The sequence below is a fragment of the Homo sapiens genome, chromosome 3, assembly GCF_000001405.40.
Source record: "Homo sapiens chromosome 3, GRCh38.p14 Primary Assembly".
In the NCBI taxonomy this organism is placed as follows: domain Eukaryota; kingdom Metazoa; phylum Chordata; class Mammalia; order Primates; family Hominidae; genus Homo; species Homo sapiens.
The window spans coordinates 23,905,548-23,930,180 of record NC_000003.12 but is presented as its reverse complement, the minus strand read 5'-3'; the positions used below and the strand labels follow the sequence as shown (position 1 = coordinate 23,930,180).

General features: G+C 41.9%; 2 protein-coding genes across 33 annotated transcripts in view, besides 4 other annotated features; one reads left to right on the top strand and one right to left on the bottom strand.

Moving 5' to 3' along the window:
- The window catches only part of NKIRAS1 (NFKB inhibitor interacting Ras like 1), a 56,612-nt gene that overhangs the window by 16,382 nt on the left and 15,597 nt on the right, over positions 1-24,633 (top strand). For 2 of the 27 annotated variants that reach the window (NM_001377368.1, NM_001377371.1), the window contains exons 1-4: positions 13,191-13,397; positions 18,731-18,852; positions 19,260-19,370; positions 22,501-22,564. Coding sequence is in view for 20 of the 27 variants with exons in the window: in NM_001377380.1 (NP_001364309.1) it covers positions 19,277-19,370 (94 nt within the window). In the remaining 7 variants the exon portion in view is untranslated. Of the gene's footprint in view, positions 1-13,125; positions 13,398-13,454; positions 14,227-14,567; positions 15,209-15,526; positions 15,593-16,011; positions 16,146-18,730; positions 18,853-19,259; positions 19,371-21,086; positions 21,355-22,495; positions 22,565-24,633 lie in introns of those variants that run through there. The other 25 variants (NM_001377352.1, NM_001377370.1, NM_001377369.1 and 22 more) reach the window with 23 other exon arrangements.
- RPL15 (ribosomal protein L15) lies at positions 5,550-13,636 on the bottom strand. 6 transcript variants are annotated; one of them, NM_001253384.2, is made up of 5 exons: positions 13,008-13,636; positions 12,150-12,331; positions 11,605-11,741; positions 10,935-10,985; positions 5,550-8,583 (listed from the first exon to the last, which is right to left on the bottom strand). In NM_001253384.2, the coding sequence occupies exons 2-5, from the start codon at positions 12,319-12,321 to the stop codon at positions 8,506-8,508; spliced, it is 438 nt and encodes a 145-aa protein (NP_001240313.1). In that variant the 5' UTR covers positions 12,322-12,331; positions 13,008-13,636; the 3' UTR covers positions 5,550-8,505. The 6 variants fall into 6 exon arrangements, with proteins under 6 accessions (NP_001240313.1, NP_001240312.1, NP_002939.2 ...); NM_001253383.3 differs by lacking the exon at positions 5,550-8,583 and having other exon boundaries at positions 9,192-10,985; positions 12,942-13,049; NM_002948.5 differs by lacking the exon at positions 5,550-8,583 and having other exon boundaries at positions 9,192-10,985; positions 13,008-13,049.
- Positions 12,308-12,407: an enhancer, noted in NCBI's record as "active region_19607". NCBI's record gives its function as "activates an Ori minimal core promoter by ATAC-STARR-seq in GM12878 lymphoblastoid cells {active_cell/tissue: GM12878}" and the evidence as "EXISTENCE:reporter gene assay evidence [ECO:0000049][PMID:35858748]".
- Positions 12,308-13,587: a biological region, named in NCBI's record as "CDK7 strongly-dependent group 2 enhancer GRCh37_chr3:23958136-23959335".
- Positions 12,337-13,536: an enhancer, noted in NCBI's record as "CDK7 strongly-dependent group 2 enhancer chr3:23958136-23959335 (GRCh37/hg19 assembly coordinates)". NCBI's record gives its function as "activates an origin of replication core promoter dependent on BRD2, BRD4, P300/CBP, MED14 and CDK7 cofactors, with strong dependence on CDK7, by STARR-seq in HCT116 cells {active_cell/tissue: HCT116}" and the evidence as "EXISTENCE:reporter gene assay evidence [ECO:0000049][PMID:35650434]".
- Positions 12,788-13,587: an enhancer, noted in NCBI's record as "active region_19606". NCBI's record gives its function as "activates an Ori minimal core promoter by ATAC-STARR-seq in GM12878 lymphoblastoid cells {active_cell/tissue: GM12878}" and the evidence as "EXISTENCE:reporter gene assay evidence [ECO:0000049][PMID:35858748]".

The following is a 24,633-nucleotide window of genomic DNA, read 5'->3' as shown; positions in this document are numbered from 1 at the left end:
CAGCTCTCAATGTGACACTCTCTCTGGATTCCCCATGTTCTTCCAGATCTGGGTTCTGTAATTCTTCATTGCTTATTAGCTCTCCAATGCCTTTAAGTAGACTCAATATATATGACATATTCTATGTACTTATAATTTGACCTGCCTTTCTAGTTGTCCCTGGAGTGTTTGTCCAGATTATCCATTCCACCAATTACTTATTCCATCATTATGAAAACTAGAAATTCTATCATTTTTTCCAATTAAAAAAAACAAAGACTGGAAGAAAATAAACCAAAATGATAACATGGTTCTCTCTGAGTAATGGGATTCAGGTAATTTTTTATTGTCTAGATTTTCCAAATTTCCTGTAATTCAAAAATAAAATATCTCTTATGTGCTAGTATTATGTTAAAGAAGTCTGGGCATCCCACAAATTTTAAGTACATTGAAACATAGAGGTTGGGTGCAGGGGCTCATGTCTGTAATCCCAGCACTTTGAGAGGCTGAGGCAGGAGGATCACTTGAGTCCAGGAGTTTGATAACAGCCTGGGCAACATGGGGAGACCCTTTCTCTACAAAAACAAAAACAACAACAACAAAAAAAATTAGCCTGGTCTGGTGGCACATAACTCTAGTCCCTACTACTCAGGAGGCTGAGGTGGGAGGATCGCTTGAGCCGGAGACGCAGAGGTTGCAGTGAGCTAAGATCACGCCACTGCTCTCCAGCCTGGGTGACAGAGCGAGACCCTGTCTCAAAAATAAATAAATAAATAAACAAATTTTTTCAGGTAGTCCAAAACATGGTTTTTATTTTTATTTTATTTATTTATTTTTTGAGATGGAATCTTGCTCTGTGGCCCAAGCTGGAATGCAGTGGTGTAATCTCGGCTCACTGCAACCTCTGCCTCCTGGGTTCAAGCCATTCTCCTACGTCGGCCTCCAGAGTAGCTGGGATTACAGGCGCCTGCCACCATGCCCTGCTAATTTTTTTGTACTTTTAGTAGAGACGAGGTTTTACCACGTTGACCGGGCTGGTCTCGAACTCCTGACCTCAAGTGGTCTGCCCCTCTCAGCCTCCCAAAGTGCTGGGATTACAGGCATGAGCCACCACGCCTGGCACAAAACATGGTTTTTACAGTTAATTTTAATTTTTGTTTTAAATATATTTTCTTTTCTTTTCTTTTCTTTTTTTTTTTTTTAAAGAGATGGAGTCTCGCTCTGTCGCCCAGGCTGGAGCGCAGTGGCACGATCTCGGTTCACTGCAACCTCTGCCTCCTGGGTTCTAGCAATTCTCCTGCTTCAGCCTACCAAGTGGCTGGGACTACAGGCTCAGCGCACACCGCCACACCTGGCTAATTTTTTGTATTTTATTAGAAACGGGGCTTCACCGTGTTGCCTAGGCAGGTCTTGTACTCCTGAGCTCAGGCAATCCACCCTTCTCGGCCTCCCAAAGTGCTAGGATTACAGGTGTGAGTCACAGCGCCCGGCCTTTTTTTTTTTTTTTTTTTTAAGCCTAAATCATACTTTGAGGCTTCTGTTTTTTTGGTCTGACTTCCTCATGCCCTTGTCGGTTTCTCCTAAAAGCACTTCAGTAATGAAAAACTAGCAAACAAATCTTGACTTGGAGTCAGCTTCCACATATGGCATTATCTGAAATTACAGTGTTTCTAGGAAAAAAATTAGTATGAACATTTTTTTCAAGATGCAACAGGATCTTTATTTTTCTGTACAAGCCAAACATGACACATATCAGAATTAAGAATGTAAATTACATTTTATATATTTAGAAACTTAATGTCAGTTCACCAAAGAGTTATGGGGGATTGGAGAGTTACTAAGCACTAATGGTATTCAAATGATAACATTTATTTATTTATTTATTTATTTATTTATTTATTTATTTATTTTTGAGACAGAGTCTTGCTCTGTTGCCCAGGCTGGAGTGCAGTGGTGCAATCTTGCCTCACTGCAACCTCTGCCTCCTGGGTTCTCCTGCCTCAGCCTCTTGAGTAGCTGAGACTACAGGTGTGGGCTACCATTCCTGGCTCAGATGAACTGTGTGTGTGTGTATGTGTGTGTGTGTGTGTGTGTGTGTGTGGTGTGTAGAGAGAGAGAGGAGAGAGAGTGTGTCTTGTTTTGTTACCTAGGCTGGAGTGCAGTGGCACCAACATGGCTCACTGTAGCTTCGACTTCCCAGGCTCAAGCAATTCTTCCACCTCAGCCTCCTGCATATCTGGTACTACTGGCATGCACCACCAGACCAGGCTAATTGTTTAATCTTTTGTAGAGACAGGATCTCACCATGTTGCCCAGGCTGGTCTGGAACTCCTGGGCTCAAGCAGTCCTCCCACTTTGGCCTCCCAAATTTCTAGGATTACAGGTATGAGCCACCATGCCCAGCCTTGGATGATCATTTTTTGAATCTTTCTTTTTGATAAGCAAAACATCCTAGCTTAGTTAATAATCAACCTCGGGAAGCTAAATAGTATGTTTACACTCTCATAGAAACAAGTTTCGTGATTTGATGACTGATAATTACATCATCCATCAGTTAATGTCTCTAACTAACTAGGACTGCCAAATAATGAACTTCTCTCCAAATGACAATGAGAATTGCCAATAAATGAGTTCAGATGTTCACAGCATGCCAATTAAATCAAATGCTTTCATCAGTTTTGGAGGAGTGAGTTGCCGTTTGCCAGGATTTCAGAGTGAGCTGAAGTGTGCATTCCAGCTACAGCATTTCGTTAAGTTTGAATGCTTTGATTATGAGGTTTAATGTCACAAGCCAACTATAGCACCTTCGCAGTAGGTTTTTTTTTCTTTCCTCAACTAAGAAATATAGAGATGGGGGCCTCACTATGTTGACTGGACTGGTCTCGAACTCCTGGCCTCAAGGGATCCTCCCACCTTGGCCTCCCAAAGTGCTGGGATTACAGACGTGAGCCACTGCACTCAGCCTTGCAGCAGATTCTTCTTTTTCTAAAGAAAACTTGAGCAGCATTTTATACTAAAAGGCTTTATTTTCAGTTTATTTTTCTTATATAAAAATAGGTTGAAAACTATATGTATAGTGATGATGTTCACTGCATCATTAATAAGAATAACTAAAATCGATGGAGAAGCTAAATGTCTAGTCAGCCTTCCCAAGGCTGAACTGGAATGATGTTGGGGCTGTGGAGAGTGTTGCTTGGTTAAAAACTGCGACATGGATTTCATCCTGTTTGGGGCAGCTGATGGTCAAAGTGTAGCTTGTTGGTGCATGTCACCCCCTATTGGTATTTCAGGCCAGCTTGATCCTTCTAGGACAAATCCAAAGAATTGTTTCTTCTCTGAATGATGAATATTTATAAAACTGATTTCAAAGGTCCAACAGTTTGGCAAAAGATGCAGCCAAATTGCAGCAAATGGAAAACTAAAGGTCTTTTTCGACCAAAACCTTTTTTCTTAGAAAAGGTGTTGTAGCAGTTCATTCTTCTACAGTTTGTACCATTGGGATAAAACTCTTATCAAAAACTTCTAAAAACCTAAAATCGCCCTGACAAAGGAAGTGGTAATTATACAATTAAAATATCTATAGCAACAAATACTATTCTCATATGAAATCTATACATCAAACTTTTTACGGTAAAACTAGACTTCATATGCCTCATCTTCATCTACTAGAGAATGACACAAAAAAAAAGAAGAGGAAGAAGAGGAAGAGGAAAGAGAAGGAGAGAAAGAGGAAGAAGAGAAAAAAGAGAGAAGAGGAGGACGAGGAGCAAGAGGAGGAGGAGGAAGGAGGAGGAGGAAGAAGAAAGAAGAAGAAATAAAGAAGAATTTCAAGGGTCTAAGTCAGTACTATGGCCGGGCGCCATGGCTCATACCTATAATCCCAGCACTTTGGGAGTCCAAGGCAGGTGGATCACCTAAGGTCAGGCGTTTGAGACCAGCCTGGCCAACACGGCGAAACCCTGTCTCTACTAAAAACACAAAAATTAGCTGGGCGTGGTGGCGGGTGCCTGTAATCCCAGCTACTTGGGAGGCTGAGGCAGGGAGAATTGCTTGAACCTGGGAGGCAGAGGTTACAGTGAGCCAAGATTGTGCCACTGCACTCCAGCCTGGGCGACAGAGCAAGACGCTGTCTCAAAAAATAAATAAATAAATAAAAATAAAAATAAATAAATTGGCACTATACAACAGAAATTTCTGTGATGGTCAAAATATTTTCTGTGCTGTCCAACGTGGTAGCCAATGTGCCCACTGAGCATTTGAAATGTAACTAATATGACTGGAGAACTGACTTTTAAATCCTATTTAAATTTTAAAAGTCACAGATGGCTAGTGGCTATCATATTGAAAAGCATACAGCTAAAGTATTTTTCAGTGAATATTTGTGGGTATACAGCAAGGAAGCTATCACATAATAAAGTGTCAAATGAATTGGTTGCAGAGTTGTATGCAGATAACCATATTTTACCAAATGAATTAACTCAATAAGGGAATGCATTGTCTGTAGGAGAATTGTAAAACAACAAAAACTGAGTAAAAGTACATTTATTTATTTATTTATTTATTTTTTTGAGACAGAGTCTTACTCTGTCAACCAGGCTGAAGTGCAGTGGCGCAGTCTTGGCTCACCGCAGCTTCAACTTCCCAAGCTCAGGTGATTCTCCCACCTTAGCCTCCTGAGTAGCTGGAACCACAGGCGCATGCCACTGTGCCCAGCTAATTTTTTGTATTTTTAATAGAGACGGGTTTCGCCATCTTGCCCAGGCTGGTCTCAAACTCCTGAGCTCAAGCAATCCGCCTGCCTCGGCCTTCCAATGTGCTAGGATTACAGGTGTGAGCCACCAAGCCCAGTCTCAGTATGTTCTTTTTCAACATCATCATATTCTGGCAATGCTAAGCAATGTCAGTGACAAAATACTCTCTCTACCAGTGTGGACTGCGCTGGTTCCTGCTTTCTCCTTGGTATACTAGCTGTTTTCCATAATACTTCAAATGGGTACAAAGACTAAAGAGAAACGAAATGGATTAGTGTATGTGGTAGACATTAGAGCTGTTCACAAATATTTGATTCTCTCTCTCCTTCCAAGCACTGGAAGATATCACTTCCCCACCCTTTGAACCCAGGAGTAGCCATGGGACAACCTGAGCAGAAGCTTTACAGGTTAGGGTGTTCTACGCCATGCTCTTTGCCCTCTGCCATGGACACCTCGCAATGTTCCAGATAGTGTCTGTTCTAACAGTCTGGATTCTAGAGTGAGAACAATCTTTAACATACATGAAGTATGATCAAGAAACAAATCTTTATTATTTTAAGCCACTGAAATTTGGAGGCTATTACTGTTGCCTCATTTAGTCTGCCTGATACAATATAGCTACTAATTTGGTTTAGGAATTTCAGAACTTAAAGATGAAATCAGAACTTAGAATTGAAAGGCGAAAATGAACAGTTGAAATTTGAAGAATTTATTCTACATAAAGTTACCTTCAAGAATCTTATGAGCAGGGCCAGGCTTGGTGGCTTATTCCTGTAATCCCAGCACTTTGGGAGGCCAAGACGGGCGCAGATCACCTGAGATCAGGGGTAATAGACCAGCCTGGCAAACATGGTGCAAACCCGCCTCTACTAAAAGTACAAAAAAATTAGTAGTGGCGCACACCTGTAATCCCAGCTACTTGGGAGGCTGAGGCATGAAAATCACTTGAACCCAGAAGGTGGAGGTTGCAGTGAGCTGAGATCGTGCTACTGTACTCCAGCCTGGGTGACAGAGACTCGTCTCAAAAAATAAGAATCTCATGAGCAGAAAAATTATGAAGCATAGGAGAAATGAGCTAGCAGCTCCTTCCAATTTATTAATATAGCATGGTACATAAGGGAGGGGGGATTCTCTGATAGAAAAGTGGAAAGCCACTGTAAAGCAAACATAAAAAACGCTTTTAAATGTACAAATAATGCTCAACTTTATTTATTGAATTAGTTAGGGCTAAGCTAGGCTATGCTGCCATAATAACAAAACACAACTAATGCAGTCGTTTGACACAATAAAATCTTACCACTCATGCTGTCTGATGCGGTTGAGCAGCTTTCACCCATCTTGTATTAATAGCTATGCTATCTGGATCACTGGCTTCCACAGTTGTGGGAAGTGTGGAGGAGGCATACCAACTGTTGTTTTTCTTGGAGGGAAGTAATATGACCCCAACCTAAATGCATGAGAGGCCAGGAAAACAATGTAGTTTAGTTGTGTTTTCAGGGGGAGAAAAAGCTATGGTATGCACATAGCTTTGCCTCTGCCACACTCAGAATGCAAAATAAAAGTAGAGAAGAGTATCATTTCCCCCTAACAGACTGGCAGATATCCCAAAATTTGATTACATACATTAAAGAGGGTGTGGATAAACAAGTCCTCTCCTACTTTGCTGGTGGTAGTGAAAATTGGTTCAACTTTTATGGAAGACAATTTGGCAATATCTATAAAAAATTATATACATACAATTTTTAACTCTGCCATTCTACTTCTAAGAATTTATTCTACAGATGAATAAAGATGTATGCACACATTTTTCTTTTTGTAATAGCAACAGATTGGAAGAAATTTAAATGTCCATCAGGAGGGTCCACATCCAATGAATCATGGTACATCCACATGATGGGATACCATGCAGTTATACCAAAAGAATGAAGTTCCAGCCGGGCACGGTTGCTCATGCCTGTAATCCCACTACTTTGGGAGGCTGAGATGGGCGGATCACCTGAGGTCAGGAGTTCGAGACCAGCTTGGCCAAAATGGTGAAACCCCGTCTCTACTGAAAATACAAAAATAGCTGGATGTAGTGGCAGGCACCTGTAATCCTAGCTACTCGGAGGCTGAGGCAGGAGAATCGCTTGAACCTGGGAGGCAGAAGTTGCTGCGAGCCAAGATTGTGTTACTGTACTCCAACCTGGGCTATAAGAGCAAAACTACATCTCAAAAAAAAAAAAAAAAATGAAGTTCCTCATGAGCTGATAAAGAATAAGCTCTGAGATACATAACTAAACAAAAAAATCAACAATGTGTATCATATCCTACCACTTGGGGAAGAAAAGGAAAAAATACATATGTAGGCCAGGCACCGTGGCCCACATCTGTAATCCCAGCACTTTGGGAAGCAGAGACAGGAAGATTGCTTGAGCCCAGGACTTTGAGACCAGCCTGAACAACATGGTGAAACCCTGTCTCTACAAAAAATACAAAAATTAGCCTGGCATGGTGGTGTGCACCTGTGGTTCCAGCTACTCGACAGGCTGAGGTGGGAGGATTGCTTGAGCCAGGAGGTTGAGGCTACAGTAAGTTGTGAACGCGCCACTACACTCCAGCCTGGGCAACAGTGAGACCCTGTCTCAAAATAAAAAAATATTGTTAAACTGATCACCTTGCCTCCAGGGAGAGGAACTAGGAGGCAGAAGGGTTTGTACTGTAGAGCCTATACTTATCTTTTGAATTTTTAACGTTAATGTATTATCTATCAAAAACTTTAAGTTGGCCACGTGCAGTGGCTGACACCTGTAATCCCGGCACTTTGGGAGGCCAAGGCGGGAGGATCACCTGAGGTCAGGAGCTCGAGACCATCCTGGCCAACATGGTGAAACCGTCTCTACTAAAAATACAAAAATTAGCTGGGTGTGGTGGTGCGTGCCTGTAGTCCCAGCTACTCGGGAGGCTGAGGCAGGAGAATCGCTTGAACCCGGGTTGCAGTGAGCTGAGATCGTGCCACTGCACTCCAGCCTTGCGACACAGTGAGACTCCATCTCAAAAAAAACCAAAACAAAACAAATAAACTTTAAGTGTATAGGATTTGAATTCAGACTGTCACTGTATGACTTTGAGCAAGTTGCTTCATCTTTGTGTTTCCTCATTGGCAAAAAAGGATTAATACTAGTAACTGCACCTTTTGGGATTGTAAGAAACCAATTGTTATTTTTGAGACAAGTTCTGGCTCTATCACCCAAGATGGGAGTGCAGTGGTGTGATTTCGGAGACTACAGGCGTGCAACACCATGCCCAGCTGATTTGTTATTTTTTGTGAGATGGGCTCTCACCACGTTGCTCAGGCTGCTCTCTAACTCATGAGCTCAAGCCCACCTTGGTTACCGAAAGTGTTGGGATTGCAGGCGTGAGCCACCGCACCCAGCCAATTGTTGTTATTACTAAAGTAAATTTGGGCCCGGTGTGGTGGCTCATTCCTATAATTCCAGCACTTTGGGAGGCCAAGGCAGGATTGCTTGAGGCCAGTAGTTTGAGACCAACCTGGGCAACATAGTGAGATCCTGTCTGTACAAAAAATAAAAATTGGGCTGGGGGTGGTGGCTCACGCCTGTAATCCCAGCACTTTGGGAGGCCAAGGCAGGTGGATCACTTGAGGTCAGGAGTTCGAGACCAGCCTGGCCAACATAGTGAAACCCAGTCTCTACTAAAAATACAAAACTTAGCTGGGCATGGCAGTGTGCGCCTGTAGTCCTGGCTATTTGGGAGGCCGAGGCAGAAGAATTGCTCAAACCCGGGAGACAGAGGTTGCAGTGAGCCGTGATTGCCCCACTGCACTCCCACCTGAGTGAGAGTGAGACTCCATCTGGAAAAAAAAAAAAAAAAAAAAAAACTCAATAATCAATGTTGCTGTGTGAATTACATGCCAATATAGAAATAGTAAAGCAAATGGGAACAGCTTGTGGGGCGGTCAGGGTATAGCTAATAAAGTGACCCTTAATATTGGAGTAAAGCTTTCCCATCATAAAGGCATTAGGAAGTGTTTGGTGTATTTGAAGAACAAACAGCAAGGAGCCTGGGGTGTGGACTGCAGTAGGACATGAGGTCACACATAAAGTGGGAAGATCATGAAAGCTATCATGAGGACTTTTGATTTTTTTGCACGGGAGTGCCATGATCAATTTAATAGGATCCCTTGGACTACTGTGTGGAGATAAAACTGTTGGGTAGCAAGGACAGGAACAAGGTTTTCTTGTAGAGACAATGCTGACCTTTGGCCCGAACCCTTTCTCTCCTTCCCAAATTAGTCATGTTTAAGGATTTTTTTTGTTTTTAGGTCTCACTATGCTGCCCAGGCTGGCCTCAACAAATCCTCCAGCTTGTCTCCCAAAGTGCCAGGATTACAGGCCTGAGCCACCACACCCAGCTGAACAGTTTTAGATAAAAACCTAATTCATGCAATGATCAAAGAACTGAGAGAATAAGTACATTTTATGCTATCTCAAATTATATTATTTCTATAATCACATTTTGATGCCTTTTTGCTGGTTAGGGCATTTGGTTTGCTTTAAAGTACATTAGCACTGTAAGATGACAAAAAATAACAGAAGGTCCATTTGTTTTAGTTTAATAGACATTTATTCCTTCAGTTGAACAACCTCTACACAATTAAAATGTATGACTTAAGATCTTTTCTTTTTTTGTGAAGAAATTTAGGTCTCAAGAACTTTTATGAACTTGCTATGAGTACTTCCTGGAAATCAATTAACTGAGTCTTTTGAAACCCCTAGAGAAGATAGGAGAAAATTGGTTCAGAACGAGCATTTAAATTAAGTCAGCAAAGTCAGAATTTAAAATTGGGCAATTCCTTGTCTACATTTTCTTTACACTCAAATTGACCCTGGACAACAGTAGTCTAGTCTCCTGGAAGACATGGTGCAAACAGAAATGCAATGTGGTGGTATACTCATAGTCAAAGTGGGTGCACAAGTGATGGTCCAACTTTGTGGAATGGTAAGGATTTTTAGGGTTGTTTGGCCAGAACAAGAGAAATAACTGCAGAAAACACATATGGTTGGAAACCATGCGCTTGTGACTTTTTCTGTAGCCTATGGGAGTGGACAGAGTGGGTAACCCAAGATGTTTTTAAGACTGACTGGACTAAGAATGACGTACTTATAGCCAACTACTTTCCCCCTAATGTGACTGAAGGGATTCATAATGATCACAATTAGCATTACGGTTAAGTATTTTAGGGTTGACGTCTAAGCTCACACTTGAAAGGTATTTATCTAATGGCCACTGGCTCACCAGCTTCCCACCCTAGCATTCATTGCTAGCTTACCAATCTTAAGGCTAATAATTTTATCGCACATTCAACTTCAAAACACACCAGTGTTTACCATTACCACTAATCACTGAATGCCATGAAGCCATGGCACTGAACCAGGAGCTTTCACCTTTTATGTGAATTTAAAATGGTACTGTGGAGGCTGAGGCAATTTTCTTCAGGCTAACCCAGATTTTCTAAAGCCCAACTTAAAAAGTCTACACCTGCCAAACTAAAAAAAACGCAGCCACTTGAAAATAAACCAGCAGAGCATTGCCATCACTCCGATAAAGCTGCAGGTTTCATCACATGCACCAGACAAATCTACAGGGCTAGTTTCAGTTCTCTCCTTTTAAAGAATTTATTAAGCCTGTTATACCACACAGTATGTTTTATACACTGACATACAACTCCCTAATAAGATAAAGCAAAGACAAAAAAGTTTATCTTATTAGAAACAAGATACACCACCACTTATTGTCTTCAAACATTATTGCACTTTAACTTTCTTAATTTGACAAAGCATTCAAGAAACATCTGCAGACTAGTTTTAACAGACAAATAACACCTGTAAGCAGACATGACTGTCCTAAATTGTTTATTAAGTATGAATTTTACAAACTTTACTTATATTAGCGGTAACGGTGGAGCTGGAGAGTATTGCGCCTTCTCCAAGCTGCCCGGCGAGAGCCACCAATAGTGTGGTGGAACTTGTGGCCCTTTCCAAGGCCACGGCTCTTTCGGCCTGCAGATGTCAGCCCACGCATCTCCCTGTGCTTGTGGACTGGTTTGGTGATCCACTGGGTGTCAGGATTTCTTCTGATAGCTTTATGGAATGGATCAATGAGGATAACCTCAAAAAATTTGTATGTGGAATCTTCACCAACCCAGTAAGAATTCAGGACTCTCAGAGCCCCACAGTGGCGTCCAGCTCGCTCCTAGAATAGGAAAAAAGGCCCAAGGTCAATCTCCCACATTGCCTATAGCAGCAAGTCAGAAAGAATTTTAATTCTCAACTCTAGTTCACCACCAGACAAGAGTCTTTTACTACTCAAGTTATTTACTAAGCATTTCTCCCTAGACTATCACAAGTGTAATGAGATAATGTAGACTTGCTAAAACAACACACATAGACTGAAACACATCATTCCCTCTTAATACTCCATTCCTGACTAGGGCAGGAATATGTTAATATCTGGGTAACAAAATTTAGGGTTTGGGGACCTTATCTTTTTCCATACAACTGAGAGCTCAGCAACGTTTAGCTTTAAAAATATTTAGTATATATTTTAGGCTGTGCAGGCCACATTTGGTCTCTTCTGCATATTCTTGCCGCTTTAAAGCTTAGGTTCCACAAGTACTTCCAGTATATACACACGCATTTGTAACAAAGACAAGTCTTTCAAGCAATTACTCTTCACCAAGATTAGTAAAAATCACAAACCCTGTTTTATATACGAGACAGCTCACCTAAGTACAATCAGAAAAGTTGCTTAATCTCTCTCTCCCACCATCCCCAGGCAGTATTCAATATAACTGCTACTCAAAACCATTTACCTCTGCAACGGACTGAAGGCTTCGAGCAAACTTTAGCTGGTTAACACCATGATGGACAGGCTTGCCGTAAGTTGCACCCTTAGGAACTGGGCGTTTTCGGCCACCACGGCGAACACGAATCCTATATATAACGTAACCTACACACAAACACACACGAAATTAGTGATTTTATAGGAAGCCGTAAGGCTTAAGACTCAATGGCTTGTCACTAATACTCCACCAAAAATACTTCAACAGTAAGTTAATGCTATCTAATAGAAAAAAATAAAACACATCCCAGTCTTTTTCAATGCACCTTAGGCTACTCACACAGGGAGGCACACTGTTTATTTTGCTTTAGTCTGAACTCATTCAGATTTGTAACCTTTGACACACTTGCCACTTTAGACAACAGTGCATACAGTAACTGACCAGTGTTGCTAGCTTTTTTCTGCCAAAGCCCTATGCGAAGAAAGACACTGAGGCAGCAGTGTCTTCCTAACAGCTGGTTTCCAACTTTTCTCGAATATAATTTTATCCAAGCATCCACGCAGTCGATCACGTACCTTGCTTGGCCTTGTAGCCCAGTCGGCGCGCTTTATCAGGCCGGGTGGGGCGGGGAGCCCTGTGGAGAGCAGAGAGCTGGCGGTACTGCCAGCAGCGGACCCTCAGAAGAAAGCGCATGACATCAGACTGCTTCTTTCTCCATAGCTCCTGGATGTACTTGTATGCACCCATCTTGGCTTACCTGTGAAATCAAACTGTGTATTAAATATCATCCGCTTTAAGTACAATAAGACGACTGTATCCGTCCATCTTAGTTCCCCAACAAAAACAAGGAAACCGCCGGGAATGAAAATGGCTCTGCACCAACTGCCGGGGACAGCTAGCCCAACCCCCACCACTGCGCCCACGGAGCCGCGTTCAGTCACTTCCGCAACCCCAGCACAGAGCGGTGCTCGGCACGTTTTGGTGGGGCGAATTAACAGAACCAGAACTGAGCACCAAGGGGGCGGGTGGCTGCGGCAGGCGGCGTCCCCAAGGAGGACCTGAAAGGAGATGCCGCTGACATCACAGGACAAGGTACTGCTGCGGCCACCGAGGATTAACTCTCGAGGAAAATGCATCTACCCCACCCAACCAGCAGCCTCACTTTAGGCTGCCTTGTCCCGGGCGCCCCATTCGTCAGCCCCACGCCTCCTCCAGGATCCGGGCCCAGCTCGAATTCGCGCCGCCATCACATCTTCGCTCAACCCGCCCCGGGGGCCGCCTCTCCACCCCTTTGCTGTCCCGCATCCTGACCAAACTCTGGCCGCACAGGAGGGAGACCTATCTCCGAGGACGCAGGGTCCCCGGACCTGGATGGCTGAAGAGGAAGACGATCAAAGGCGGATGGAAGAGCAAAGATCCTCAACGCAGCCTACCTGATGGCTGCCGCCAGACGGAAAGGAAAGAGCTGTACTCCCACAATGCCTTTTGGGCTCCTCCCCCACCTCAGCCACCCTCTTTCCGGTGGAAAGCTGCGGCCTCCCAGAGCGTCATGGGACATGTAGTTCCGGCATCGCGCCTGGTGGCGGAGTTCTGCCGAGTGGGGCGCCGCGGCCGCTATTGTCCCGCCCCCTGCTCCGCAAGATTCGAGCCTGAGCGGCCTGGGCGTCTCGAGAGGTGAGAGAGTTGGCGGCGAGGTCTCGGCGGCTAAGCGAGCGTCGGCGACTGTCTCTCCGCGAGAGGAGGCAAGTTGGGGTCCAGGCTCCAAAGCCGGTGGCCGCGTACCGCGGTGGAGCCGCTGTCTTTGAGGTCTGAGGAGAGAACAGGTTTGTTTCACGCACCGCGGGCTCTCCCCCTGCGGAGTCTCTGCGTCTCCGCGTCTCCGCGCTGCGCTGTCCCTCTCTGGCCACCGCACGACGGGCGCAGAAATCTGGGCCCCAGAGCTGCGCTGAGAGATCCCCCGACGCTTCCCCAGCCTCCCAGGGAGGCCTTCGCGGAGTCGGGGCGTCGCGGGTCGGGGCGCTCGCTGTGTCCCTTCAGCTCCAGACTGCGTGAAGCTCCTCCAGCAGGCCCCAGCGCCCAGGGATTTTGTCCTAAAAAAGGGTCATGGAGTGGGTGGATTGCGGGCGGCCCGGCGCTTTTTCTGCATACGGATTTCGTCCCAAATTTGCTAACATGAGAACCACAGTTTTTCAGAAGAGCAGAATGTTTATTTGCCAAGACCTGTTTGGCAGGTGTGAATGTTTTAGAGAAGAAATGCCGAGAAAATGCTGGCATTTTGCGTTGCGGGTTTTTTTTTAAATTGAGAAATAGGTTACTGGCTTACTTTGTTTCTCCAGAATATTTTCACTTGGCTTTAATTTAAGTCATGTGGCTTTAATTTCCTTCCAGATTATGCGTTCAGATGTGGCAAAGGCTTAAGAGAATCATTATCTCTTAATCGTAGCGGTTTTGATTATCTTTTTTCCCACATCATATTTTTCTTTCTTTCTTTTTAAATCACAGCTTTACGTTTTTAAGAGTCTCTATCTGGTTCATTGATTGATTCAACAAATATTTATTAAGTGTCTAATATGTGCCAGGCATAGTTGCTGGGGATGCAGCAGGAAACAACGCAGAATTTTTGGCCTTCTTGGAAATGGGCAGTAAGCAGAAGTAAGCTGTGTTTTGGGTTTGGTGGTAAATGCTAAGGAAAAAAGATAAGGGGAGGGAAGTGATGAGGGAGTGTTAGCGGCTGAGGGTTGCAATTTGGAATGGAGTGTCCAGGTTAAGTCTTTGAGAGAAGGTAACATTTAAGAAAGGACTTCAAGGATAGGAGTCTGGGAGTAAGAGTAGGGGTCTGATTCAGGCAGAGGGAGAAGAGCCATGACTGGAGCATGCAAGATTAATAGAGGAACAGCAGGGAAGCAGTGTGGCTGAAATTCACAGTAGGGGAAAGTGGGAAATGACGTCGGAGAGGTGAAGGTTCTCACATGGACTTTGGATTTCATTGGCAGATTTTGAACAGAAGGATGACTTCATATGGCGTACATTTTAAAAAGATAACTCGGATTGCTCCTTTTGAGGCTAAAAGGAGAGAAAAAATGGAAGCAGAGAGACTGCTTAGGAAATTGTGTTAGTCTTCCATTGCTCCTGTAACAAATTTCAGCAACTTTGTTGGTTAATAATACAAATTTACCGTCTTTTAGTTTGTACATCAGACTAGGTCTGTAAATCTGTAAATATCACCAAGCTAAAACCAAAGTCAGTAGGGCTGTGTTCCTTCTGGAGGTACTAGGGGAGAGTACATTTATTTCCTTGGCTTTTCCACCTTATGAAGCCTGCCTGAATTCCTTGGCTCCTGACTGCTTCCTTCATCTTCACAGCCAGCAAAGGAGCATCTTCCAATTACACCTTCTGTCCTCTCCAGCACTCCTGTGTGTCTCTTATAAAGACACTTGTGATTACACTGGGCCCACCTAGATAATTCAGGATAATATCTTCGTATGGAAGTTCTTAATTTAATCACCCCCGCAAAATTCTTGTATGAGTATGTAAAGTAAACATATTCACAGGTTTGGGGGATTACGATATCTTTGAGAGACCAGGTGAGAGAACATGGTGCCTCACCCAGACCACTTCAGTAGTGATGAAAATGGTAAGTAGTGCAGCCCTGTATGTATTTCAAAGGTGAGGATGACTAAAAAGTTGAATGTGCTACTGTAGGTACGCTGCCTATGGGCGTAGTCCTGCTCCTAAAGGAGCAGTAAAAATAAAATTTAAAAAGTTGGATGAATCATTTGGAAAAACAATTCTAGTAGTGTGAATAATCACTGCTAATTTATCAATCACATTTGCAGTTTTGTTTCTCAATTTGTAGTTTCTCAGTTAACAGTTTTACAAGATTTGGATTTGTGTTTCCAGTTGATTTTGAGATTCCTGAGGACAAGGGATGATTTCTGTTTTTGCCCCCTAGTTTGTCCCTGATGGCTGGCATGATGGCAGGCCCTCAGTAAATGTTTGGTAAATGAATAAAAGAATGGTAAGCTAGAATCTGCTTTATTACATTTTATTTTGTGCAATACTGTGTGCAAAACCTGTTGAATATATTTTTATGTATGTAAATATATTCATATATGGATAAGTGAAAGTATTCCACACTATACATAATGTTGACATAAGTAAATACACAGTGTAGGTGGTTTCCCCACATGACAGTATTTTTAGAGATTTATAACATCTCTCCTATGATGTTAACAGTGTTTTGGTATTGTTTTTCTGGTTGCGTCAGAAAGTTGTGTTTTACTTATAAAAATAGAATGGCCCACTTACATAGAAGAACAGAAGCAATAACGGTTTTGGGGAGCTGTTTCTGATGGCTCTTCAAAGAAAATGTTGACAAAGCATTTCACAGGAATGGACCAGGTCATATATTTACTCTCTGTTTTTTTTTTTTTTTAGCCTCAAGTTGGAGAGAGGAGGTTGTATTTATTCTCTAGCAATGTTATTGATTAGCCTGGAAAGTAAAGCAATAAGTATTTAAGACTGCCCTGAATCTTGCCTATTAAGCACGTTCTCTTAGTAATTTACATCAGGTGAGGTTTAATAGGTCACAGATTGAATTTTATTGCCCAGTTTCTTAGGGTAGGGATGTGACAAGTAGCTGTAACTACTGCTTTTTGTGTTCACCTCAGTGTTGATGTATTCTCTGGATAAGCAACTTCTAATATCATGGCATCACAGTGTTGAAAGGAACCTAAAGGTGACCCATGTACTACAGAGCCTTTCAAATTCTTGAAACCTAGATTTAAGTAAGAGGCTTGGTTACCCCAGGATCGGTTCATGTGATTCAGTGCCCATTCAGGGTACTGCAGATGACCACCTTTGTATATTTCGCAGGAACTGGTGTACATTTATTGTGTTTGGGAATTATTAAATAATTATAAGTGCTTTAAGAACCAAACTTTTAGTAGTTTTTATTTGTAAATCTGAAAATATCTAAGCATGAGAACCACTTATTTGTAATGTGAGTTCCTGCCATAGCGATCATTTATAGAAAATAAAGTATTTTTGTGTATGTGTTATTTATTCAAAATGTTAATTATTTTTTAAAGAATTCTTAACTTTGTAATTGATGGTAGCAAGGCACTCATCTGCTTTATGTAGTGGTATTGTTTCCTATTTGGAAGGCAACCAGGAACCTAGAATATTTCAGCCTGCTTTGATTAATCACACTTATCTTTTCATCTTTGTTTTCTTTTTGATAGTGTAAAATATTTAATGAGGTCTGTTCTGTCATCTCTTTGCTTTCCTTCCAAAAAATGCTTAAAATTCTTAGCTAGTGTTTTGAGCTACTTTTATTCAGTTACTTTTACCGTTTGCCCATGATGAAGACTTCTTTGGTAATATCAAAAGGAACTCCCCAATTTATTAATATATACATACAATACAAAACAATGTATAATTTTTAGCAAACGTTGTCTGTTAATCCTATTATCCTGATAATTATATTATCCTGATAATCATATTATCAATGAGTGATCAAAGTACATTTGTAGTGTATTACTTTTTTTTTTTTTTTTTTTTTTTTGAGACGGAGTCTCACTCTGTCACCCAGGCTGGAGTGCAGTGGCATGATCTCGGCTCACTGCAAGCCCCACCTAATTTTTTGTATTTTTAGTAGAGACGGTTTCACCATGTTAGCCAGGATGGTCTCAATCTCCTGACCTCGTGATCCGCCCACCTTGGCCTCCCAAAGTGCTGGGATTACAGGCATGAGCCACCGCGCCCGACGTATGTGGCATATTTTCTTAATCCAGTCTATCATTGATGGACATTTGGGTTGGTTCCAAGTCTTTGCTATTGTGAATAGTGCCCCATTAAACATACGTGTGCATGTGTCCTTATAGCAGCATGATTTATAATCCTTTGGGTATATACCCAGTAATGGGATTACTGGGTCAAATGGTATTTCTAGTTCTAGATCTTTGAGAAATCGCCACACTGTCTTCCACAATGGCTGAGCTAGTTTGCAGTCCCACCAACAGTGTAAAAGTGTTCCTATTTCTCCACATCCTCTCCAGCACCTGTTGTTTCCTGACTTTTTAATGATAACCATTCTAATTGGCGTGAGATGGTATCTCATTGTGGTTTTGATTTGCATTTCTCTGATGGCCAGTGATGATGAGCATTTTTTCATGTGTCTGTTGGCTGCATAAATGTCTTCTTTTGAGAAGTGTCTGTTCATATCCTTCGCCCACTTTTTGATGGGGTTGTTTGTTTTTTTCTTATAAATTTTTTTAAGTTCTTTGTGGATTCTGGATATTAGCCCTTTGTCAGATGGGTAGATTGCAAAAATCTCCCATTCTGTAGGTTGCCTGTTGACTCTGATGGTAGTTTCTTTTGCTGTGCAGAAGCTCTTTAGTTTAATTAGATCCCATTCGTCTATTTTGGCTTTTGTTGCCATTGCTTTTGGTGTTTTAGTCATGAAGTCCTGTGCATGGGCAATTTTTCTAGAGTTGTCTATTCTTCCTCAAAAAGAAATATGATTAAGAAAGCCCACGTGACAGCCAGGCGCAGTAGCTCACGCCTGTAATCGTAGCACTTTGGGAGGCCAAGGCAGGCGGATCACTTGAGGTCAGGAGTTTGAGACCATCCTGGCCAACATAGTGAAACCCCGTCTCTACTAAAAATACAAAAATTTCACCGGGCATGGTGGCAGGCACCTGTAATCCCAGCTACTTGGGAGATTGAGGCAGGAGAATCGCTTGCCCTTGGGAAGCGGAGGTTGCAGTGAACCGAAATCTCATCACTGCACTCCAGCCTGAGTGACAGAGCTAGACCCTGTCTCAAAAAAAAAAAAAAAGCCCACGTGACTACCAAAATCCAGTTTCTTCCCTTCTCGAGAAAAGACTGACATAAACTTTCATGTTTCTTTGAAAAATCATGTCCATTTTCTAAAAACTTTATCCTCATGCCTCCTTAAATTTTTACTTAAATGTTTATTTTTCCAGGTAAATATTGATGAGTAGGCAGTCTCTTTCAAGGATTTAAGAGTCTGTTGGATTGCTATAGACTTAATCAGTATTGAAATATTCTTCATATAAAATGTATTTATTCTTTTTGAAAACAAAGATGTATTCATACCTATCCATGTGTTTTTTTGTTTGTTTGTTTTCAGACAGAGTCTAGCTCTTTCACCCAGGCTGGAGTGAAGTGGTGCAATCTCAGCTCAGTGCAACCTCCGCCCCCTGGGTTCAAGTGATTCTCCTGCCTCAGCCTCCCCAGTAGCTGGGATTACAGGTGAGTGCCACCACGCCTGGCTAATTTTTGTATTTTTAGTAGAGATGGGGTTTCACCATGTTGGCCAGGCTGGTGCCGAACTCTTGACCTCAGGTGATCCACCCGCCTTGGACTCCCAAAGTGGTAGGATTGCAGGCATGAGCCACTGTGCCTGGCCTGTATTCTTATATTTATCTACATTGTCTCCGTGAGATATATAAGAAACTGATAATGCTTATTGCTCTAAGGGAGGAAATGGGAGACTGGGGAATGGGGTTTGGAAGGCTATACCTTATTCTATATCTCCTTTTCTGTATTTGAAAATTTCCCCTGTGCATGTGTTACATATTAAATTGAAATACTGAAAGAAAAAGAAATGGTTAATTTCAACAGTATACAATTTAAAAGACCTGTTATTCTCTCCACAGTGATATCCTGAGAGAAGATGGGAAAGGGCTGCAAGGTTGTGGTTTGTGGATTGTTATCTGTGGGGAAAACTGCAATTTTGGAGCAGCTCCTTTATGGAAATCATACTATTGGTAAGATTGTTTTTCTCTAGTTTGTCTCTAGGTTCTGGGAGCTATCAGGGGTCTTTTGTTGGTCATGCTAAACTAAAGGTGGTTGATGGTACATAAAGGGGAGGTATAATCCAGAGGGACCAAAAGAGATTAAGAGGTAAGAAAAGAGGAGGGAAAAAAGTCTTAGTGTTATTGAAATTCAAGAGTGCCTGCTGTAAGTTATCACAGGTAAGGAAAGAAATGGCCAATATAGATAGATCAATATGGATATATATTCCTTTGTATATATGTGGTTTTCCGTGTATTTACATAATGAATGGTGTAAATTCATTACATTACAAATCATAGAATCACTGATTTAAGAAAACATAACTTTCCAGTGGGCATGGTGGCTCAGGCCTGTAATTCCAGCACTTTGGGAGGCCGAGGCAGGCGGATCACCTGATGTCAGGAGTTCAAGACCAGCCTGGCCAACATGGTGAAACCTGTCTCTACTAAAAATACAACATTAGCCAGGCATAGTAGCAGGTGGCTGTAATCCTGCTACTTGAGGGGGTGAGGCAGGAGAATCTCTTGAACCTGGGAGGCTGAGGTTGCAGTGAGCCAAGATGGTGTTACTACACTCCAGCCTGGGCTACAGAGCGAGACTCTGTCTCAAAAAAAAAAAAAAAAAAAGGCCGAGCGCAGTGGCTCACACCAGTAATCCAAACGCTTTGGGAGGCCGAGGCAGGCAGATCATGAGGTCAAGAGATCAAGACCATCCTGGACAACATGGTGAAACCCCGTCTCTACTAAAAATACAAAAATTAGCTGGGTGTGGCGGTGCACGCCTGTAGTCGCAGCTACTCAGGAGGTTGAGGTAGGAGAATCGCTTGAATGTGACAGGCAGAGGTTGCAGCGAGCTGAGATTGCACCACTGCACTCCAGCCTGGCGACAGAGCGAGACTCCATCTCAAAAAAAAAAAAACAAAAAAAAACAAAAACAACTTTGCAGAGCTGCTGTATGTAGATTTTTAAAAATGGAAGAAACAGTTGTTTGGTGAGTATGACTTAATTTTGTGAATTGGGCTACCTCATTCATTTATTCATTCGCTGAGTCAAATAATTATTTATTAATTGGTATATGATACGTGTAATCAGGCCTTGGGTTACAGAGGTGAAGATAGCATCTCTGGAGGTCATGGCTTAGTAAGGAAGATAGATATCACAGGTTAGAATGAAATGACGTTTGTGTTAGATAAGTAAACAGAGATCATCAAAGCATTTTTTTCTGGCAAGTAACTTAAAGCACATTTCTGTTTTTCTGAGATGGAGTCTCACCCTGTCTCCCAGGCTTGAGTGCAGTGGTGCAATCTCGGCTCACTGCAACTTCCGCCTCCCAGGTTCAGCCAATTCTCCTTTCTCAGCCTCCTGAGTAACTGGGACTATGGGTGCGTGCTACCACGTCTGGCTAATTTTTGTATTTTTATTTTAGTAGAGACGGGGTTTCACCACGTTGGCCAGGCTGGTCTCGAACTCCTGACCTCAAGTGATCCCCCCGCCTCGGCCTCCCAAAGTGCTGGGATTACAGGCGTGAGCCACTGCGCCTGGCCCACATTTCTGTTTTTCATTAACCATTTCTATGTGCTCTGCTTCTCTTCTAGCTTTCTAAAATAATGTTTAACAATTGTGGTTAAATTCATATTTAGTGTTTATTATAATACCTATGTCAGTAGTTCTCAAATTTTTTGGTTTCAGAATCCTTTTGCCCTGTGAAAACTTACTGAGGACCCCAAACAACTTCTGTTTATGTGGGCTGTATCTTCCAACATTTACTGTATTAGAAATTAAAACCGTGGCCAGGCGTGATGGCTCACAGCTTGGTAATCTCAGCACTTTGGGAGGCCAAGGTGGGAAGATCAGCTGGGCTCAGGAGTTTGAGACTAGCCTGAGACCTCATCTCCACTAAAAACAAAACAAAATGAAAAAAAGAAAAAAAAAAAAAAGAAAGAAAGAAATTATCCAGGTGGGCATGGTGGCATGTGCCTGTGGTTCCAGTTACTTGAGATGCTGGGGTGGGAGAATCACATGGGAGGTTGAGGCTGCAGTGAGCCATGATCACACCAGTATGTTCCAACTTAGGAGACCCTGTCTGAAAAAAGAAAAAAAGAAAAGGAAAATGGAGACATTTGTAAACTACTTATTTTTTCTAAATGACACTAATAAACTCATTATATCCTAAAATAACTTTATGAAAAAAATTATATTTTCAAAATAGAAAGGTGGCATTGATTTACTTTTTAGAAAATCTTTTCTGATGTCCAGCTTAATAGAAGGCAATTATCATATCTATTAACACTTGCCTTTGTAATCTGCTGTGATGAGGTGTTTCAGTTGAAATATATGAAGAAAATCCAGCCGCACACAGATATGTAGTTGGAAAAGGTAGGAGGAATACTTTAATAGCCTTTTCAGGTAATTATGGGTATTTTTCTTTGGTATTTCACTAAAACTTAACAAGTGATGGTTACTTAAAGGTTATTGCAGTGTAGAATCTGAAATCATATTCGTGAACTTTTTTACTCTGCTAAATTAAAATCTCATTGATTGATCCTGCATTTTAAATGGATCTTTTTACCCAAGCAGAGTTTTTTAGCATCGTGAATTGGTCATTTTGGAAATTTTGGTTCGCTAAGGAAGTCTTCCATATCACTTTTGTTAATATCTGATGAAATACCAATTTCATCAGTATTGGGAATCTGTCAAGTTCATGATGATGGATACAATTCTGATTTTTGCCTGAAAGCTCAAATTTTATTGACAACAAATACTGTTACCATAGTTACTTTCCTTGAAATGATAGGCTTCCTTTATTACTTTTTGAGAAAATGTTTGTCAAATATTGTAAATACATAGTTTTTCTGTCATTTCTTCTTTTTAAAAATGATGGCTAGTTCAGCTTGCAATTTAAAACACACAAGAGATTTTCCTCAAGACAGTTACCATAATTGCATGCAGAAATGCTTTATGTATAGTTTCCATTTAATTCCATAGAATATTGAAAAGATATATACTCAAGGCTTGAGATTTAATAAAATTAGTCATTTTTATTGCTTCATTAAGGACATTCTTAAGTAAAACTGGCTTTTTAATTTTTTAACTGCAAGCACAGGATGGTGAAGAGAGGATCTAATGGCAACTATACGTTTAGTGCCACTGACTCGATTTGCACTAAGGTACCGGCAGTTTTACCCACCACTGCTTTTGCAACATCAGTACAAATATCAACACAGTGGAAAATGCAAATGGCTTTGGTAGTAGTATGAATATAGTTTTGCCCATGTGGGTCCCCTGAAAGGAGACCTCATGAGATCTGCAGACCACAGTTGGAGAGCTGCTGGCATATATAAATACAGTACAATTGACCCTTCAACAGTGCACGGGTTAGGGGTGCCAACACCGCCCCCCCATCAGTTGACAACCAAATTTTTGTCCCCCCAGAAACTTAACTACTCATAGCTTACTGTTGACCAGAAGCCTTAAACCTGATAACATAAACAGTTAATTGCCATGTCTTATATGTTGTGTGTATTATATACTGTACTCTTACAATAAAGTAAGCTAGAGATAAGAAAATGTTATTAAAATCATAAGGAAGAAGCCGGGTGTGGTGGCTCACGCCTGTAATCCCAGCACTTTGGGAGGCCGAGGCAGGCGGATCACTTGAAGTCAGGAGTTCAAGACCAGCATGGCCAACATGGCGAAACCCCATCTCTACTAAAAATATAAAAATTAGCTGGGCATGGTGGCACGTGCCTGTAATCTCAGCTATCTAGGAGGCTGAGTCATGAGAATCTCTTGAACCCGGGAGGCAGAGTTTATCGTGAGCCAAGATCACGCCACTGCACTCCAGCCTGGGCAACAGAGCGAGACTGTATCAAAACAAAACAAAACAAAACAAAAACCTGCTTTAAAAAATAAAGGTTATTTTAAAATGTATAAGAGGTTACCATTATTTAAATTTGAAAAGAAGAATGTAAGTGAAAAATAGCCACTGCAAAGGATATAAGACACTCTCTTTGATGATAATGCCTATAAAATAAAATCTGTGTCTCCCAGACTGGAGTATAGTGATGCCATCTCACCTCACTGCAGCCTCCACCTCCTGGGTTCAAGTGATTCTCCATCTCAAAAAAAAAAAAAAAATCATAAGGAAGAAAAAATATATTTACTATTTATTAACTGGAAGTGGTTCATCGTAAAGGTCTTCATCCTCATTGTTTTTATGTGGAGTAGACTGAGGAGAAGGAGGAGGGATTGGTCTTGCTGTGTCAGGTGGCAGAGGAGAAAGAAAATCTACATGTAAGACATGTGAAGTTCAAATCTGTGTTGTTTAAGGGTCAGTGGTATTCTCAGCAGAGCAGTATAGTATACTGTGATTCTTTTTTTTGTTTTGTTTTCATGGAAGCCAACATGTATTTGTCATTTCTTTAGTTTTGTTTATACCTTTTGCTAGTTCTTTCCACATAGTCCAGATGTTTCTCAGTTCTGCATGAGGTCAGCTCCATCAGATAATCTATTTTTTTTCTTGGCTGTGTCCTTTCAGGAGCTCTGTGTCCTCTTATCTACTGTGCCACCATCATCATGGAACTTCCCCTTTGTTTCTCCCTTTGGTTTTTTTTTTTTTTTTTTTTGAGACGGAGTCTCGCTCTGTCACCCAGGGTGGAGTGCAGTGGCACGATCTCGGCTCACTGCAACCTCCACCTCCTAGGTTCAAGTGATTCTCCTGCCTCAGCCTCCCAAGTAGCTGGGATTACGGTCATGCGCCATCATGCCTGGCTAATTTTTGTGTTTTTAGTAGAGACAGGGTTTCACCATGTTGCTCCAGCTGGTCTTGAACTCCTGGCCTCAAGCAATCTGCCTGCCTCAGCCTCCCAAAATGTTGGGATTATAGGCATGAGCCACTGCACCCGGCCTCTCCCTGGTTTTGATTTCCTGTTTCCTAGATCTCTTGTCTTCTTTTCTTCTTTTGGCTTATACCTTTTTTTTTTTTTTTTGGAGCACATTTTCCAGTACTTTTCTGGGGTTGAAAAGGTTGTACAGTAGAACAGAACATCCAGTGATGATGGCCTTCAACATGCCCTCTACCTGGGACGTAGTCGTGACCCTGGGGCTTCCGAATTGAGATATTTACTAATTGTGCTTGTGATTTCCTTTACTTCATATCTGTGTTAGGTTCTGTTTCTTCCTGTTTCTATGATTACATATTAGTTTTTATGGAGGGTCTCCTCAAATAGTTTTCTGA